Source organism: Homo sapiens, chromosome 3 (genome assembly GCF_000001405.40).
Source record: "Homo sapiens chromosome 3, GRCh38.p14 Primary Assembly".
Lineage (NCBI taxonomy): Eukaryota > Metazoa > Chordata > Mammalia > Primates > Hominidae > Homo > Homo sapiens.
Genome location: NC_000003.12, coordinates 73,301,494 through 73,320,850, shown reverse-complemented (window position 1 = coordinate 73,320,850; position 19,357 = coordinate 73,301,494). Strand labels below are relative to the sequence as shown.

Sequence of the window (19,357 nt, the reverse complement as noted above, 5' to 3'; positions counted from 1 at the left end):
AAGAGGCAGCATACGCATAGTAAGGATGGCTGGTGGGTTGTATTAAAGGGGGCCTGGAAAGGGGAGAGCCGAGATGCATGAATAGCACTTGGGAGGCTACCATCTCGTAATAATCCAGACAAGAGAGGAAGATGGCCAAATTGAGGTAACAGCAGCGGAAATGGGAGAAGGTTTTGCAGAGTTTTTTCAAGCTGTGGGTCATGAAATCAATTTGCTGGGTCATGACCACCACTTCTTAAAAATGAAGTAATAAAATAGAATAGGTATTGTTTGGTGAAGCTCATTTCAGCCCTTATATTACATGTGTGTATCAGGTTTCAACGTAAAAGATATGTCTTACTATGGGTTGCAGTCTATGATAGGTTAAATAACAGTCCCCAGGCCCCTTACTAAAGACCTCCATACCGTAATCCCCTGAACCTGTGAATATGTTACATTACATGGCAAAAAGGACTTTGCAGATAGAATTAAGGTTACTAATTAGCTAATCTAGAAATATGGAAATTTTCCTGGATTGTGGACCCAGTGATTTCAGACTGGTGGGACCTCAAACCAAGAAAACAGCCTGGCCCACAGGACTTTTGGCCTACAGAATTTTTAGATAATACATAGGTATAGTTTCAATCCTCCAAACATGTGGCAATTTGTTGTTGCAGCAGCAGAAAACTAAAAATGGCTTGAAAAAAGTTTGACAGTTTCTGATGCAGGAGTTTAGAATCAGATTACTGGGTTCTACTTCCTAGTTATTCTTGTATTTAGTAGCCTGTGACCTTGGGCATGTTATCCAACATTTCCTTGGATATAAAACTGAGGTATAATAGAGCAAACTCACTGGGTTTTGGAGGGACCAGGACCAAAATCAATGGTGGTAATGCACATAAAATGTTCAGAGTGATAATTATTATTATGACTTTGATTTAGTAGAAAGGCAAGCTCTTGACCTTCAGTTTCTTATCTGAAAAATGGAGATAATACGACTCCCTCATTTGGTTGGGGTCAAGAACTAATCAAGTATTATAAAATGAGGCCCAGAAAACTCCCTAAAAATTATAGATAAAAGATGACAAGAAACTACTAGTTCTTCACTTCAATATCTGCTCTCTTATTCTTCCTTATTAATATAACCTCCAACTTTTAGCAGAGACATGTCTGCTCAGGATAAAGAGGATGTGACCCAGTCTCCCTGGGAGCTTGATGTAGCCATATGACTTAAGTGCTGGCTAGTCACATGTAAGCAGAAGTGTTATATGCAGCTTCCAGAAAGTCTTCTTAAAAGGCGGTGGACAGACCCTTCTTCTACTGTCTTTTCTGTTGACAGGCATGAGGTCATGATGGCAGGAATTCAAGCAGCCGTTTGAGACTATGAGATTGAGAACTCCAGAGCAGCAGGATAGAAAAAAGGCTGAGTCCTTGGGGATTTACGGGGCCACGTTTACAGCCTGAATTGCCTATCTCAGTGCTTTGTTTAGACAAGAGAGAAACAAACTTTATTAGTATGTTTTCATACTGTTGTAAAGAACTGCCTGAGACTGGGTAATTTATAAAGAAAAGAGGTTAATCGTAAGTTACACCTGAGGCTAGAGAGGCCTCAGGAAACATACAATCATGGTGGAAGGTAAAGGGGAAGCAAGGTACCTACCTTCTTTGCAAGGCAGCAGGAAGGAGAAGTGCAAGCATATGCCAGATGCTTATAAAACCATCAATCAGATCTCATTCACTATCATGAGAACAGCATGGGGGAAGCTGCCCATATGATCCAATTACCTCCACCTGGTCCTGCCCTTGACACATGGGGATTATGGGAATTACAATTCAAGATGATATTTGGATGGGGACAAAGCCAAACCATAACACTTCTGACACTTGTGTTGTAGAACTTACAGGGCTCACAGCTTTACAATTTGCTACTCACAGCATCAAGCAACTCACCACAAGTTGAAGCTCTTTGATCAACCAGTTTATTATATTAATGATGCTTTAAAACTTTGCAAACTGCTATACACATATGCCAACAGCTCTCCAAAGGATCCCAAATATTTATAAAACAACTATATAGATTCTTTTAAATGCTTAAAGTAAGGTGAAGTATTTACATGGAAATGTTTTAACTCAATAAGACATTTTTCAAATGGCTCAGTTTGTCTCATGGATCAGTCATCAGGAAAAATAAACTAACTTGGCATCTTTGTGTGGACTCATAAAGGAAATTAGCTTGCAGTCCACAAGGAAGTTGCTTTTCATGCACCCAATTGTGTTGTGTCAAAAGAATCAATAAAGATGAACGATTTCAAGATGAATATCCCAATATAATCCATTAGAGTGCATGGGTCATTTGCATTTTCTAAAGATGCAAATAATGAAATCAGGACGAAGAGTAATCCAAAACAATTTTCTACCTTCCAGAGAAGCCAAAGCATACAAGTGGAATGAGAAGCTCCCTCTTATGTTATTCAGAGCAAGACTCTGGCCCAACCAGTTCATCTCACACATAACTCCGAGGTCCCCAAATCCAGAGGCATTTGAAATTTATTAAATGAACTGGCCCTTCCTGACAGAAATCATGAACCAATTTTAATTCAAAAGGAAGCCTCCAAAAAAATACATCATTGTGTGATTTGAGAAAAGAAGGGCATTTACCATGGGTGGCACAACATACTCATGATCTTACTTAGTCCTTATAATATCCCAGGAGGCAAGTATTGTTCTCTCTTGCAGATGAGGAGTGTGAGATATGAAGCGACTTCTGCAAGATCACAGGGAGACACCGGCAGAATGAAGAAAGAAACCAAACTCTGTTTGATGTAATAGCCTACAGCAGAGCTGTGCAGTAAACATCTAATATGACCCACATATGTGATTTAAACATTTTAGTAGCCACATTAAAAAAAGAAGCAAGTGAAATTAAAGCTAGCACTCTTTCTGATTTTGACCCAATAGATTCAAAACATTATCATTTCAACATGTAATCAATATAAAAATTGAGATATTTCACACATTCCTTTGTATTAAGTCTTCAAAAACTTGTGTGTATTTGACATTTATATCACATCTTCATTCTGACTAGCCACATTTCAAGTGCTCAATAGACATGTGTGGCTAGTGGCGACTGTATTAGACAGCATAGGCCTAGAGTAATACTCAGCATTGTTACCTACCATTTCATTTTTACATACAGTGATAAGCCCCAAATGCCTGAATTTGTAGACTTATAAAATTGTAATAACCTGATGAGGCCCTACACGGTTGCCTATTTTTAATTTTGCCAAGTATATTGGTTTGCTTAGGCTATGTCATGATGCACTAACAAGCAACCCCAAATCTCAATGGCTTGCAGCAACAAAATTTTATTTCCCTGCTATGCAACATACCTATTATGAGTTGGCTGCCACTCTGCTCCTCGTCATCCTCAGTCTGAGACCCAGGCAGATGGTACAGGCAATACCCTGTGGAAGAAGGAAGAGAGATACTAGAGAATGTTTCTCTCTAGATATATACTGTCTCTTAAAGATTCTGCTATGAAAGGGTACATTTGACGAATGAAATAGCCAAAGCAAGTCTCATGGCCAACCTTCATATCTTGGGGGACAGAGTAGGAAAGGATATGTGGTTCTCCTCTGCAGATGGGCAACAAATACTTTGAATAACAACCTAATCTCCAACTCCAAGGAAGGACTTAATAACACTAAATTTATTATCATTTCAAAAATGATCTTTTAAGACCACAAAAGTGGGAAGGAGAGAATGCATTATTCTTATTTTCTCATCTCACCAGAAACTGGTGAAATCTATCCCTTGGACAGAGAGTCAGGATTTGGGATCATTGATCTATGGAGTGACCACACCTACTCTGCTTTGCCCCATTTTCTAAACCGTATGGTTTCCAGACGTTCTGAGTTTTCCAAGTCTTTTAAAATCCATGTAATGTGATATGCACCAAGTAATAATTTATTTCTAAAAGTGATTTACACAGATTTTCACTGTCTACTTTTGTACATTTCTGTACTATTTGATTTTTTAAAAAAATATATAGTTTGGCCATAAGAAAAAAATAAACATAAACATTTAGCTCAACTCACAGGGGACCAGTGATGGGGTTGAGGGTAGGTTTTGCCTCCAAGTATGAGTGAGGCAAACAGCCTCCTGTGTACCATAGGGGTGCCAGCCACTCAGGCTCATTTCCCCTCAAGTTCTGCTTTATAATGCAGTTTAAGACTTAGGAGATTGGACAGGTTTAAATTCCTCAAAGGAGCCATGTTGACCCATCCAAAGGAACCATCCAATAGCTTACAGAGTGAATTGAAAACCTGCCTTCTCCCTCCAAAGCAAATGTTTGCACAAATAAAACACCCAGCAAATATTACACCAGTAACGCAAAGATGTCCATTTCTCTTAGATGGATGAATTACAAAGCCCCAAACTTCCAGTCACAGTTCAGTAAAGTCCTCATGAAATCATAAGGCATTTTCTTTTCTGGAAAAAAAAATGAGGTAAGTATGACCAAAAGTCATAGCACCTTGTATAGCCCCAGGAAACCAGCAGAACTTTATTAATCTTTAGATTAATATTTGGACACTTTAATTAAAAAAAAAGCAGCTACCCTGGGTCTCTCAAGAAAACTTATTATATCTTTAAAGTATATCTATTTTTAAATAATAAATATCTAAACAAATAAATGCCACAGGCCCAAAGTCCCACAATGCACAGGAACAATTTCATTGCTCTTTTTACTGCTCCCAATATCACAAAAGTTTACAATTAATAGCCACCAACGTGAAAGAAGAAAAAGATAAAGAAAATGTTTATTGCTTTAGAAAAAGTGGTGCTCCCCTCTCAGCTCTGTAAACACCCTCCTTTCTGAGTGTCGCTGAGTAAAAGAGACAGAATAAAACATGTTCTTAATGTGGACGCCATGCATTTCCGCAGACAGAAGCTGAGACGTGGCAGGAAGCACGAGCTCCAGAGCAGGGGGCTGGAGGGAGGAGGGTATCGATGATGCTCCCTAACGCAATTACTGCCAGTGACAGACAGTGTAAAATTCATATCGCCTCTGAGCAGGATAAAAAATGTGCCAAGGGGCATCTGAGTTTGAATTAAGGTCATCAAAATGCCAAAGGGGGAAGAATATCTGAAGTTAAAACGAAAAAAAAGGGGCTTATCTTGAGATTTGTGAGTTTTCTTTTTTCCTTCTGCATTCTTGATTTCAAGTATATATGTAGTTCATTCATTTATTCATTCAATAAACATATGTCAGGAACTGGAAACAGTAATAATAGTAAAATACAATATTTTTTATGTTCCTAAGTATGAAATTGCATCAATTTATGAATTAAATTTGAAGAACGTCACAGATTTAAAAACAAAGTACAAAAGTGCCTGATTCTTTTTAGTTCCACAAATACCTAGCATCCCAAAGTAACATGTAAACAAATTTCTATGCTGCTCAATGAATCCTTCCAATTTCGATAATAAACTAAATAGTATCAGATCTAGTATATGACTTTGATGTGTTAAGTTATGGTTTTATCCATTACTTTGACAATATTATTGATGTAACAGATGTAATATATGATGTAACAGATGTATTTCAACTATTGTAAAATACAATACTTTTAAAATCCAAATAACTTAGTATTTTTTTAAAATAGTACACATTCTAATCTTGTCATGTGTTAATAGTATTGTTAAAACAACAACAACAACAACTTTTAACTAGGTTTCTTGTTAATTTGATGTTCTTGATAACTGGACCAGGTAGAATGAGAGCTGATTTTTACTGCGTCTCCAATAAAACACACACACACACACACACACACACACACACACTCACCATGTTTCTTCTATATTGCAGGAAATAAGCAGCTTTTGCATGTGTCAAAGGATATTTTACTAAGTATTTTTCCTTGTGATTTTTTTTTCTTTTTATTTTCCCTTCAGCCCTTTCACCACTAAGGCTAAGCCATGATGCTAACTGGGAAAGGAAAAGGCAGTTTCCCCCACAACAATGAAGTCCACAGAGCAGGGAGATATCAAGACACCAGAAGCAGCAGCTCAAGAGAGAAAGCAAGACAGAGACTTAACAGCTCAGAGCCCTCAATTCGCTCCTTCCTCTGCCCTTAGGGTTGAAACTTGAGAGAAGGAAATGGTAGAAACTTTGGGGCTGGCACCCTGCTTCCCCCTAGATCACCTGGGGGGACCCTTCACCCCTTTGAGAGAAGTATGGGAAGAAGACAGTCCCAGGTAAAGGTCTTGGCCTCAGGTCTGGCCTCTGATTCCCTCTACCTGCATGTGCTTAGATGAGACGTTCTTAAGGGACCCAGGAGGCGGTGGTGGAAGTTCTCAGAGGACTGGAGAGATCTCATGAACAGAGGTGTGGCCAAGTCTGCAGTCACCAGCAGCAGGGGACAGATGCAAAACTCAGAGACTGAGCATTCACCAGAACGACAGCCCAGCCCATCTCAGCCACACCACAGCAGGCACCAGTCCAGGCACAGAGGGTCTCCCATCACCCAGCTGTCCCGTGAGGTGGTTAGCCTGCTCCTCAACCAGATACCACTCAGGGGTAATAGAAAGGGGAAGAGAGAAGAGAATCAACATTTATTCAAAGACACAGTTACCCTGAGAGCAGCTGTTTGAAACCAGAAGAGGCACAGCAACATTTACTTGGCAAGTCTGTTTCTTTGGCCTAGTGGAATAAGCAGGTGCAAACACTACAATTTTTTCAACTTTCTCGGTAACAGAATCCTGGTTTTCAACTGGGTACATTGCCTTCAAACCAGAAGATTGGATTTCCCAACCTCTCTTGCTGCTTAGGTATGACCAGGTAATTAAGTTTTGGCCAATAAGATGTAAAGAGATCCCAATAGCTTTGTTCTTTTTGCTTAGGATTGCAGTGGCTATTTGGGCTCTTTTTTGGTTCCATATGAATTTTAAAAATTTTTTTCTAGTTCTGTGAAGAATGTCAATGGTAGTTTAACAGGAATAGCATTTAATCTATAAATTGCTTTGGGCAGTATGGCCACTTTAACAAAATTGATTCTTCCCATCCATGAGCATGGAATGTTTTTCCATTTGTTTGTGTCATATCTGATTTCTTTGAGCAGTGTTTTGTAGTTCTCCTTATAGAAATATTTTACTTCCCTGTTTAGCTGTATTCCTAGATATTTGTTTTCCTTTCTTGCAATTGTGAATGAGATTGCATTCCTGATTTGGCTCTCCGCTTCACTGTTGTTGGTGTGTAGAAATGTGAGTGATTTTTGCACACCGATTTTATATCCTGAGACTTTGCTGAAGTTGTTTATCAGCTTACGAAGCTTTTGGGCTGAGATTATGGGATTTTCTAGATATTTCCTACAGGGCTACAGTAACCAAAACAGCATGCTACCAGTACAAAAAGAGGCACAGAGACAAATGGAACAGAATAGAGAACCCAGAAATAATGCTGCATACCTACAATTATTTGATTTTTGACAAACCTGACCAAAAAAAGCAATGTGGGAAGGATTCCATATTCAATAAATGCTGCTGGGATAACTGGCTAGTCATATGCAGAAGATTGAAACTGGACCCCTTCCTTGCACCATATACAAAAATAAACTCAAGATGGATTAAAGACTTAAATGTAAAACACAAAACTACAAAAACCCTGGAAGACAATCTAGGCAATGCCATTCTGGACATAGGAATGGGCAAAGATTTCATGATGAAGATACCAAAAGCAATTGCAACACAAGCAAAAATTGACAAATGGGATCTAATCCAACTAAAGAGCTTCTGCACAGCCAAAAAAAATAAAAACTATCAACAGTAAACAACCTACAGAATAGGAGAAAATTTTTGCAAACTGTGCATCTGACAAAGGTCTAATATCTAGCATCTATAAGGAACTTAAACAAATTTACAAGAAAAAAACAATCCCATTAAAAGTGGGCAAAGGACATGAACAACACTTTTCAAAAGAAGACATACATGCAGGGTTGGGCATGGTGGCTCACACTTGTAATCCCAGGATTTTGGGAGGCCAAGGGGGGTGGTTCATGAGGTCAGGAGATCAAGACCAGCCTGGCCAACAAGGTGAAACCCTGTCTCTACTAAAAATATAAAAATTACCCAGGGGTGATGGCAGGTGCCAGTAATCCCAGCTACTTAGTTGGGAGGCTGAGGCAGGAGAATCGCTTGAACCCAGGAGGTGGAGGTTGCAGGTTTCAGTGAGCTGAGATTGCACCATTTCACTCCAGCCTGGGCGACAGGGGGAGACTCTGTCTCCAAAAAAAAAAAAAAAAAAAAAAAAAAAAAAAAAAAAAAAAAAAAGAAGACGATGTACATGCAGCCAACAAGCATATGAAAAAAAAGCTCAAATTCACTGATCATTAGAGAAACACAAATCACAACCACAATGAGATACCATCTCATACCAGTCAGAATGGCTACTATTATAAAGTCAAAAAATAACAGATGCTGGTGAGGTTGCAGAGAAAAGGGAATACTTATACACTTGATGAGAGTGTAAGTTAGTTCAACCATTGTGGAAGATGGTGTAGAGATTCCTCAAAGATCTAAAAACAGAACTACCATTTAACCCAGTAATCTCATTACTGGGTATATACCTAGAGGAATATAAATCATTCTGTTATAAAGACACATACACATATATGTTCATTGTAGAACTATTCACAATAGCAAAGACATGGAATCAACATAAATGCCCATCAGTGATTGACTGGATAAAGGAAATGTGGTACACGTACATCATGGAATACTATGCAGCCATAAAAAGACGAGATCATATCCTTTGTAAGAACATGAATGGAGCTGCAGGCCACTCTGCAGGCCACTATCCTTAGTGAAATAACACAGGAACAGAAAACCAAGTACCATGTGTTCTCACTTATCTGTGGAAGCTAAATGATGAGAACACACAGACATTGTTGGGAACAACACACACTGGGTCCTATCAAAGGGTGGAGGGTGGGAAGAGGGAGAAGATCAGGAAAAATAACTAATGGGTACTAGGCTTAATACCTGGGTGACAAAATAATTTGTACAACAAACCCCCATGACACAAGTTTACCTATATAACAAAGCTGCACATGTACCCCTGAATTTAAAATAAAAGTTAAATAAATTTTTTTAAAAGATGTAAATAGAAACGTTGTGTGAGACTCCCACAAAGTCTCCTTAAAAGATTGTGAGCAGAGACTTCTCTTCTTTCTCCTTCATGCTGCCTGGAACCTGGCTGTGATGCTTGGCACTCCAGCAACCATTTTGGGCCATGAGCCAATGATCACACATTCTAAGGATGGAGAACAAATGGCTAGAAGCAGCCAGGGTCTCCAATGCCTTTGTGGTACCATCATATTAGCCCTGAACTTCCATCTCTAGACTTAGTTTTTTAAACATAAAAGAGAAGTTAAGTTAATCTTATTTTTTCCTTTCATTTTTCTGTTACTAAAATATACAGCTGAAACAGTCTTAATATAGTGGCATGTGAGCTATATGACATCAATAACAGCACATAAGAAAATAGAATTTTTAGATACCTAATAAATAATGTAATATTTCTCCTGCAACAACAAATATATCTTTTTATATTTTGTACCATGTTGGAAGTAGTTAGATGTAACTACAGTGGGGGCCAAAATTTATTTTTAAAATAACTATTAAAAACTGTCAAAACAGGTTAATTCCAGTCTTTTGGAGGACAAACTGGTTTGATCTTATTGTCTTAAGAGGATGACAAACTATTCAACTGATTGCTCTGGTATAATGGAAATGTAATTCAATTTTTAACAATTCTAAAAGTTTATCAGCTGTGACAGTCTTAAATAGAACCTGAAAACCCGCCGGCCACTCTGAAAGCATTTCTCTGTGCCCACCTACCCCAGCTTCTAAGATAAAGGTGTGCATAGGGTTCCAAGGAATTTCAGTCACATCATGATTGTTTCAAAACTGCATTTTGACACTTCTGGATACATTAGTCAGACTCACATCATTCATTTTAGAATTTGCCCTTGCCCTTCAAAACTCAAGAAAATGTGCATGGTAGAAAGTGGTTTAATAGTAAGCAAAATAGGAGAAATTTCCCCCAAAGCTACCAAATCAAATAGTGGCCAAGATATTGCTGGTTATTTGGAATTATTTATGTGCCTGTGAGAATAAAGAACCTAAGATGAGGGTATTTTTTTATCCTAATGATAAATACAGATAGACCATAAAACTGCCTGTTAGCTGGCATAGACAATTGTATTAAAGGAAACCTTGTAAATTTCAAAAGCCTATGAACAAGATGTAGAAAATCGCCTACGTTTATGGTGCCATTTATCAAAAGACTTCAATAAGTGTTAGAAACTTATGTGTGTGCTCTTACGGGAAGAATTCACATGGACCCTAAAATGAAACAAAATTCTTTTTTTTTTTTTTGAAAAAAAAAATCACAGCATCAACTCTAGCCCATCAAGAGGGAGTTTAAATGGGCTAGATTCAAGCCTTTATTATTAAATGACTCGCAAGAACATCAAAACCCCATCATTTATCCAGGTAAGGAGAGAAAATGAGACAAAATTTAACTGATTGGATTTGAAAAAACGCTGAGCAGCTATTCTGCAATATTGTGTTAAAAATACTTAGGCTTTCTGATTCTGAGCTTTATTTCGATTCTACCAAAGCAGCATACAGTTTTTTTTTTTTCAGTAGCGGAAACGCAATGTCCTGGAATTCAAAGTTTGGCTGGAGTAAAGCTCTTAAGCTGATGTGGGTACTGACACAACAACAACAATAACAGTAATTATAATAGGAAGAAAAGCAAAATGTCAACATAACCTATCACCTGTTTGATAATGTGGTCTCACTGCCTTGTCTCACTGCCTCCTCACGGAGGACTTGGAATGTTATGCCATCTATTTGTACATTCCAAACCCCATAAGGCAGGGATTTGTATCATTTGATTCACTTCAGCATCCCGTCCAACATCTAAAACAGTGCCTGACATATCATAAGAGTTCAAAAAATATTTGCTGTAAAAATGAACAAAGGAACAAATCAGAAGCCTTCTCATCAATAGAAATTGCCCAGTTTGGCTAGGTGCAGTGGCTCACGCCTGTAGTCCCAGCACTTTGGGAGACCGAGACAGGCAGATCACAAGGTCAGGAGTTCGAGACCAGCCTGGCCAACATGGTAAAACCCTGTCTCTACCACAGATAAAAAAATTAGCTGGGCGTGGTGGCATGTGCCTGTAATCCCAGCTACTCGGGAGGCTGAGGCAGGAGAATCACTTGAACCCTGGAGGCGGAGGTTGCAGTGAGCCGAGATTACACCATTGCATTGTAGCCTGGGCAACGGGGTGAGACTCCATCTCAAAAAAAAGAAAGAAACTGCCCAGTTCAGGTATGCAACCTGGGCTTCTAAGCAGACCTTATCGTACTTCTCAGGGTGACAAGAGGCATTGCGATTTAAAATCTCAGCTCTGGGGATATGTTGCATCCTTACCGACAATGGGTGTAACATCTAACTTCCCTGTGGCTCAGGCTCCAGCTGTGCAGAGTAGGAAGTAATTGCTGGTAGGCAGCTGAGTATTAAATGCTTTAATGTATATAAATCACTCAGCACAGTGACTTTCAACTGGGGCCATTTTTTCCTCCCAGGGGATATTTGGTACTATCTTGAGGCATTTTTAAGTCTCATAACTGGGAGTAGGGTGCCACTGGCATCCAGTGGATAGAGAACAGGGATCCTGCTCAACACCCTGCAATGCTTAGGATAGCTCCCTACAACACAGAATTATCTGTCCGATAATATGTCATTAATGCCCAGGTTGCAAAACCCTTAGTGATGTGTCTTACTCGGAGAAAGGACTCAGTGGGTACTTAATATATTTAAGTAAGGAGTGACTAAAATGAGCAAGGAAAAAAAGCCAAGGTGCTGTTTGTAAATTGATTTGTTTTTCCCCTGAAGTCTAGATTAGTGTCTTCTCAGTCCATCCTGGCCTAATCTCAACAACCCCCATCCCTAAGAAAGGTAGCCAGTCACACCCCAGCAGTCTAAATGCACCAGCCTCTGGCTCCATGTTGCGGTATCCCTGGAGCTTCTGTTTAAAAATGCCTTCCTCCAAGTTTCCCCAGCTGATTTCGGAGAAAGATGTGCCTGGGACAGTGCTCTTGCCTGCAGAGCCACAGGGCAGGGTTTTAAACAGATTTATAGGAGGCTAAGTACAGAGCAAGAAGTGCCAAGGAAACTAGAACCCTTCTGGCAAAAAAGTGCAGTTTTCTTGTAGGAACCTTCAAGTTTTCCAGTGTAGATATAAAGAAATTATAAAGAATACCTTGTTCCAACTCCTAAGCTGGAATAGTGACATCCAAATTCCTATGGGCTGAACTGTGTTCTCCCTAAAATTCCTATGTTGAAGTCTTAACACCCAGTAACTCAGAATGTGATTGCATTTGGAGATAGGGTCTTCAAACAGATAATTAAGGTAATGAAGCCTTATGGGTGGGTTCTAATCCAATCTGACTGGTGTCTTTATGAAAAGAAGAGATTAGGACATACAGAGTGACATCAGATACGTGCATGCACAAAGGAAAGACCACGTGAGGACATGGCAAGATGGTGGCCACCTCCTGCCCAGGAGAGAAGGCTCAGAAGAAACCAAACTTACCGGCACCTTGATATTGGACTTTGAGTCTCCAGAACTCTAAAAAAATCAATGTCTATTGTTTAAAGCCACCCAGTCTAGGGTATGTTGTTATAGCAGCCTATGTGTACCCATCATGGATGGTCCAGCATGACTGTTACATATTGCTGACCCAAGGTAGAATGGGCCACACTTTTATTTCTAAAAAATTTTCTAAAGGCTGATTTTCCCTCATTATAACTGTTAACTCTTACTTGGAGTAGACAAATGATTCAAGAGATCCTGGGTCCCCTGCCACCTTGGGCAAGTTACCTAATCTCTCCAGACTTCACTTACTGCGTCTTTAAAATACTGATTCATTCGTGGATTCAACAGTAATTTTTTGAATCCTCATTTGCTAGACACTGCGTTAGATACTAGCAACATATTGGTGAACCAGAAGAAATGATCCCTACCTTCATAAAGTTCAGATTCTTTTTTTTTTTTTTTTTTTTTTTGAGATGGAGTTTTGTACTTGTTGCCCAGGCTGGAGCACAGTGGCGCAATCTTGGCTCTCTGCAACCTCCGCCTCCTGGGTTCAAGCAATTCTCCTGCCTCAGCCTCCTGAGTAGCTGGGATTACAGGTGCTTGCCACCATGTCCAGCTAATTTTGTATTTTTAGTAGAGACGGGGTTTCTCCGTGTTCGTCAGGCTGGTCTCAAACTCCCAACTTCACGTGATCCGCCCACCTCGGCCTCCCAAAGTGCTGAGATTACAGGCATGAGCCACCGCGCCCAGCCTATGAAGTTCAGATTCTAATGGGGGTAAGGGGATCAAAACAAAAGTAAACAGACAAAACTGTTACAAATAGTAGGGACCATGACAGTACCTCTTTCACTGGGTTGCTGTGGGGATTAAATGAGATAACACGTATCAAGGCCTTAGTGCAAAAACTGGTCCCTAGTCCATGCTCAATTAACTCCAAGTATTAAAATTTTTGTTATGATCTCACCCCAGGAAGATCCATCTTTCCAGCATTAAAAAGCAGCATACTGCTGACAAAAGGATGTCCACCCAGTATTTATTTACTGTCTCAAGGTAAGCATTATCTTCAAAACCCAAAGGCACATGTGAACAGCAGTTGGGGCTGGGGATAGGGGGAGGGATTTAGGACTATCATCACTAAGAGCACAGGAGGGCTCTGGAGTCTGAGAGGACTGGGTTTCAATCACAGCTCACTGTGCATTAGCTGTGTGATCCTAGGCATATTATGTAGCTTCTCCTAGGCTTGGCTTTCCCATCTGTAAAATGAGCTAATAATGATGCCACAGATTGGTTTTATGAGCAGCTAATGAAATGATGTATGTAAACCATTTAGCATAGTTCCTGTTGCATAGTAAACTCTGGGTACACATAATATACTTTCTAAATTATAAAATTAGGGTAGTTCAATTCATCTCCAAACACATCTTGGAGTGCATTTTCAAGGGTCTGTCTGGATTCCCTTAGCCTGCTTCCCCTCCTTCACATCCTATAACACTCATTTAAAAAAAAAAAAAAACTTGCTAGCACCTCCTGTTTCCTCTCAAACCACCATATCTTGTGCCTACTAGGACCCACTGTCCTCTGTCTTCTCTGTCACTCCATTGTTTCAGTCACTGTTGTCTACAAGTTGAGGAATGGCTGTAATTGCAAACAAAGTCTGCCAGTGATTGCAATAATCTCAGGAAGAATCACAAGGAGTAAGAGTGAGTATGGGGACACTTAAAAATAGATATAGTTTTGTGTAAGGCTTTTTAAGAAGCTGTGCAACTGGACCCAGGTTAAACTCTTTTGATGATACAGGAACTGTGCCTTACATGTATGTATACGGGTGCGCATGTGGGTGAGTGCATGCGTGCACACACATAGCCTTCCTGTCCCCTCCCTACAGAGTAGCCCTGCGGGCTCCAGAAACCAAAAGACAAACAAGCCAAGAATTAGACATCTATAGACATCCCAGGAGACAAAGATCTACTGGGGGACTGTCAACCCAGATGTCAGAACTGCCTGAGTTTTATAATCTGTCATGTGCAGGTGATCTGAAAGCAGCCTTTGGTGACATAAAGAATAATTCCAGCTTAAATAAAATGCCATGCATCAATTCCTCTATTTAATGCAGGAAGGACTTTAAAACAGGAATGCAGGAACATTTTCCTGGAGAGTAAAGGGCCGCTTGACTTGTCTCTTGTTTCTGTTTTGTTTGGTTTATGCTTGGCTTTAAGAGAGAAAAACCCCTGCCCACTCTGTTCAACATAAAATCCACCCTCTCCCCGCAGCCTCCTGGGCCACAGTGAGCCCACCTCCTGCTCCAGTTAGTACCCAGTTTGAGGCCAGAGGAGATCAGGCCATCTCACAAGCAAGATTTCAACCCAGATGTGGGAAGAGCAGAAATCTACAGCTAAATTGTAAACCAGACAGAAAAACTTATCAACTCTTAGTGATGAGGGTAGCGGCCTCATCACTGGATCTGTGCCTGCCGCTGCAGGAGAACAGGGCTCTAGGCTATAAATTGATATATGAGAGCAAAGGAAATCATGCCCAATAACATGAGCAGCCTGATGCAAACTCCTGCTGAGAGACAGCACCTATCCCGGGCCCAGGAAACTCATTCTCTCGGCTACTTGATGTTACTCATAAACAGATTTTCTCTCATTGTGTGTGTTTGGGGAGAAACTGTAGTTACCAGGCCACTACTAACCTATTCTCCTATCTTCCTGTCTAAGGCAGAACACACCCTTTGGCCTTGCAATTCTACTTCTAAAAATTCATAAAGAAATGTGGATAAGAACAGTCATTAATTTATTGCTAATAATAACAAACATTTGAAAATAACCCAAAACATCTATGCATAGAAGGAGTAAATATAGTATGAAATGCCATGTAGCTATTTTAAAAATTAGATGTAGATCTATACATATTAACATGGAATTTGGTATCAATAACATTTAAATTAAAAAGACAAAATATTACATACAACACTGCCCCATTTATGTTAACATGTGTGCATGCATTTGCATATACATACATTTGTTTTTAAATAACAAATAAGTCTGGAAGAAAGTATATCAAAGTGTTAACAGTGTCTATTTCTTTTTTTTTTTTTTTTTTTTTGAGATGGAGTTTCGCTCTTGTTGCCCAGGCTAGAGTGCAGTGATGCGATCTCGGCTCACCGCAACCTCTGCCTCCTGGGTTCAAGTGAGTCTCCTGCCTCAGCCTCCCAAGTAGCTGGGATTACAGGCACCTGCCACCATGCTCAGCTGATTTTTGTATTTTTAGTAGAGACGGAGTTTCAGCATCTTGGCCAGGCTGGTCTCGAACTCCTGACCTCGTGATCTGCCCTCCTTGGCCTCCCAATGTGCTGGGATTACAGGCGTGAGCCACCATGCCCAACCAACAGCGTCTACTTCAGGTAGGTGGGATTAGGGGTGCTTTATATTTGCTTCATATTTTGCGTTATCCAATTTTCTTAAAAAAAAAAATTACAGTAATAACCTGACACAAAGTTTGTTCCTTTCTTAGAGAAAACAAGAAAGGAGTATAAGGATTTGTCTAAATGTAACATTTTACCAAACATAAAGTCTGGGGAATGTGACCAGCTTCCCAGTTTGGTCAGGGCGGGCCTGAGTTTCGGTTACCAGACTGAAAGGGACCATGTCTTGCCAGCTCTGCTAAGTCATTGCTAAGGTGTCTGCCAATAATGACTGGCCACTTAGGGGCATTTACAGTTCAGAAGTGGGTGGGGGAAGCCAATGTGCAAAGCTTCCAGAGCAGACTTTTTGTGGTTCTTGTAAATCTCCCCAATCCACAGGGATAGGTGTTCTTTCTCCCTACCCCTAACCCACCATGTTGATTTTGTTGGAGGTACATGCCTGTCGCTTGACTCAAAATAGGCAAGTCAGTTTCCATCTTCTGGAGGCTTGAAATTTAGACAGAGAAAGAATTGGTGTCACGGGTTGAACTGTGTCTCCTGAAAATCCATATGTTGGAATCCTAACCTCCAATTCCTCAGAATGTGACCTTATTTGAAATAGGGTTGTTGCAGATATAACTAGTCTGGATGAGGTCATTAGGATGGGCCCTAATCCAATGACTGGTGTCCTTACACGAGGAGAAATTTGAACGCAGACACATGTACTCAGGGAGAACATCATGGGAATGTAAGGGCAGAGATGGTGGCGATACTTCTACAGGCCAAGGAATACAAAAGTTGCCAGAAAACCACTGGAGAGAGGGGCATGGAACAGATTCCCACAGCTCTCAGAAAACCAACCCTGTGGACACCATGTTCTTGAGCTTCACACCTCCAGAACTGTGAGACAACAAATAGCTGTTGTACTTTAAGCCACGCAGTCTGTGATACTTTATTATAGCCGCTCTAGCAAACTAATACAATTGGTCTCTGTAGGTGTCCAGAACTATAATATATAAGCTCCAGAGGTGGATCAGCAGGGTACATGTGGCCACTGAGCCCAAGACGGAAGAAAACCCATAGGAAAAAGCAGGCACAAGAGGTGCACAAGAAATCCTCAATCCTTCCTAAGCCTATTTCTGGTTCCTTCCTGAGGTCTTGTTTCCAAGGTATGTTCATCACATCCCACATTCTGCTTGAGCTAGTGCTAGAGGATTTCTGTTTCTCCTAACTGATACCTCAGGGGACTGACTATTTATAGATCTTGAATCTCCAATCCACAATAATAGTAACAGAGCAGACCACTAGCATGTAGAATTCAATAACATCTTATTGGATAAGACAATCCATAAGTATGCAAATACATTTATCTGACACAAACTGATCAGTAGCCACAAATCCAAGAAGGTGGTTGCTTTAAAATTCACAGGAACTTCTAGGCAGAATGAGACTGCCTAGAAATAAGAAGGGAAGAAGGAGACATTATTTGGTGCCAAAATTAGACAATATCAGACAAAATTAGATAATATCAGATTTGGCTGTAAGGCAAAGGACAGAATAAAATGGGACCAGTTTGTACTTTTGCTCTCTGCCCCTATACCTTTCCTCCTCTCCTTTGGTAAAAGTCACCCTCTCCCTACCTCTTCCCCTTCCAACCACATGATTTTGCTGCAACTTCCAATGACAATTCCTATTCGCCCTCACCCTAGGGTCATTCACACGTCTCATGCCCCCTTTCCCAGGCCATAGTGATTATTTCAGTAAAAATCTATCATCCAAGTCTGGCCTGTCAGAATCTTTCTCTTGGATTTTGTGCACTGTCAATTTGTCAGCTCATGTGGCCTGTTTCGGATTTATGAAGTGGTAGAAAGAGAAGAAGAGGAAGAGAGAAGACAAACAGACCCTTGATGGTTTTGAAGTTCCTGAATCCTGGCATCCCCAGGCTAGTTAGACCTCTGCTCTTTATAACCTTCCTCTTGGCTGCAGTTAGTTCAAGTTGGTTTTCTGTTGCTTACAGCCCAAAAGCTCTGATTTGTAGAGAGAGGATATAAGGCTTTACTCATGCCAAGAATGATGAACATTGCCCATACCCCAAGACAGCTGAGCAAACGGCCCCCTTCTGGGGAGTCTCAGAGTGAAGGACCCCTCTCCTGTGGGTGGCTGCATCACAGAGGTTGGCTTGACTGAGGCTGCCAGTGGGGTTGGCAGCAGATCTACAAACAGGTTATGGCATTGGAAGCAGTCTTGCCTGAGAGCTCTGCCCACGAGGACTGCTGCAGTGGATGGCTGCAGGCTGACTAATCCGTCTCCCCTTTAAAGCATTTGATCCCAAAAGCTGCGGAAAGGAGGTGTTAGTAGATAACGCTGGAGCAGTAACAACAGAGACAGACAAAAGCTGAGCCACAATAACGTGAGCTGGAGCAGAAAGTCAACTCCTGACTGAGCACCTTATAGAATTGCTGTTGACAGAAGCAGTATAGCACAGTGGCCACTAGAACAGACCCAGGCTCAAACCCGGGCAGCTCCACTTCTAGGGGCATGATTTATGTGACCTCTCTGAGCCTCAGTTTCCTCATCTATATAATGGGAACCTGAGGCCAACCTCAAAGAATTGTCATGAAAATTAAATGAAATAATGCTGTATAAAGGCGACATCTCAAATCAGAGAGAAAACATGGGTTTTCAATAATTGGTATTAGGATAACAGGATAGCCACCAGAAACATACACAGAAATACACACATCTTGTACCAGAATAAATGGCAATAGATCAAAAATGAAAATCCGAAAATGAAGCTTTAGATGTACTACGAAAAAACATGGGAGTATGTGTGGGTAACATCACAATGGGAGGCACCCTTCCGATACAGCACAAAACCTGGAAGAAAAAATTCAGTTACATCAAATGCTTTAAAATTAGTACAGCAAAACCGCATATATAAAGCTTAAAAACCAACTGACAAATGGGGGAATATCAGCAACTCACATCACGGACAAAAGATTCACTTCTCTCATGAATAAGAACTTCTAGAACCAGTCAAAGAGATAAGCCAAAGCAGAGAGAAAATATAAATGCAAAATGCAAATCATCAAACACACAAAAAGATGTTCACTCACAATAAGACCAGTGCCTGTTTTAACTAAACTAAGGGGACAGTTTTTGCCTAGCTCCCTAACAATGACACAGAAGTCGAAGATCTCAGTGTGTTGTGGGCAACAGAAATGTGTCCGCTGCCATATAAATAAATAGACTGACCACCACGCAGGGCACACTGGCAATATCTACCCAAAATGATAAAGACATAT

The 19,357-nt window shown here is 40.4% G+C and overlaps 1 long non-coding RNA gene across 1 annotated transcript in view; it reads right to left on the bottom strand.

Annotated features, from left to right (window-relative positions):
* Window positions 1-3,381: 3,381 nt before the first annotated feature.
* LOC107986098 (uncharacterized) overlaps window positions 3,382-19,357 on the bottom strand; it is a 222,236-nt gene continuing 206,260 nt past the window's right edge. The window contains exon 3 of the long non-coding RNA XR_001740754.1: window positions 3,382-3,443. This is a non-coding gene — a long non-coding RNA (uncharacterized LOC107986098). The remainder of the gene's footprint in view (window positions 3,444-19,357) is intronic.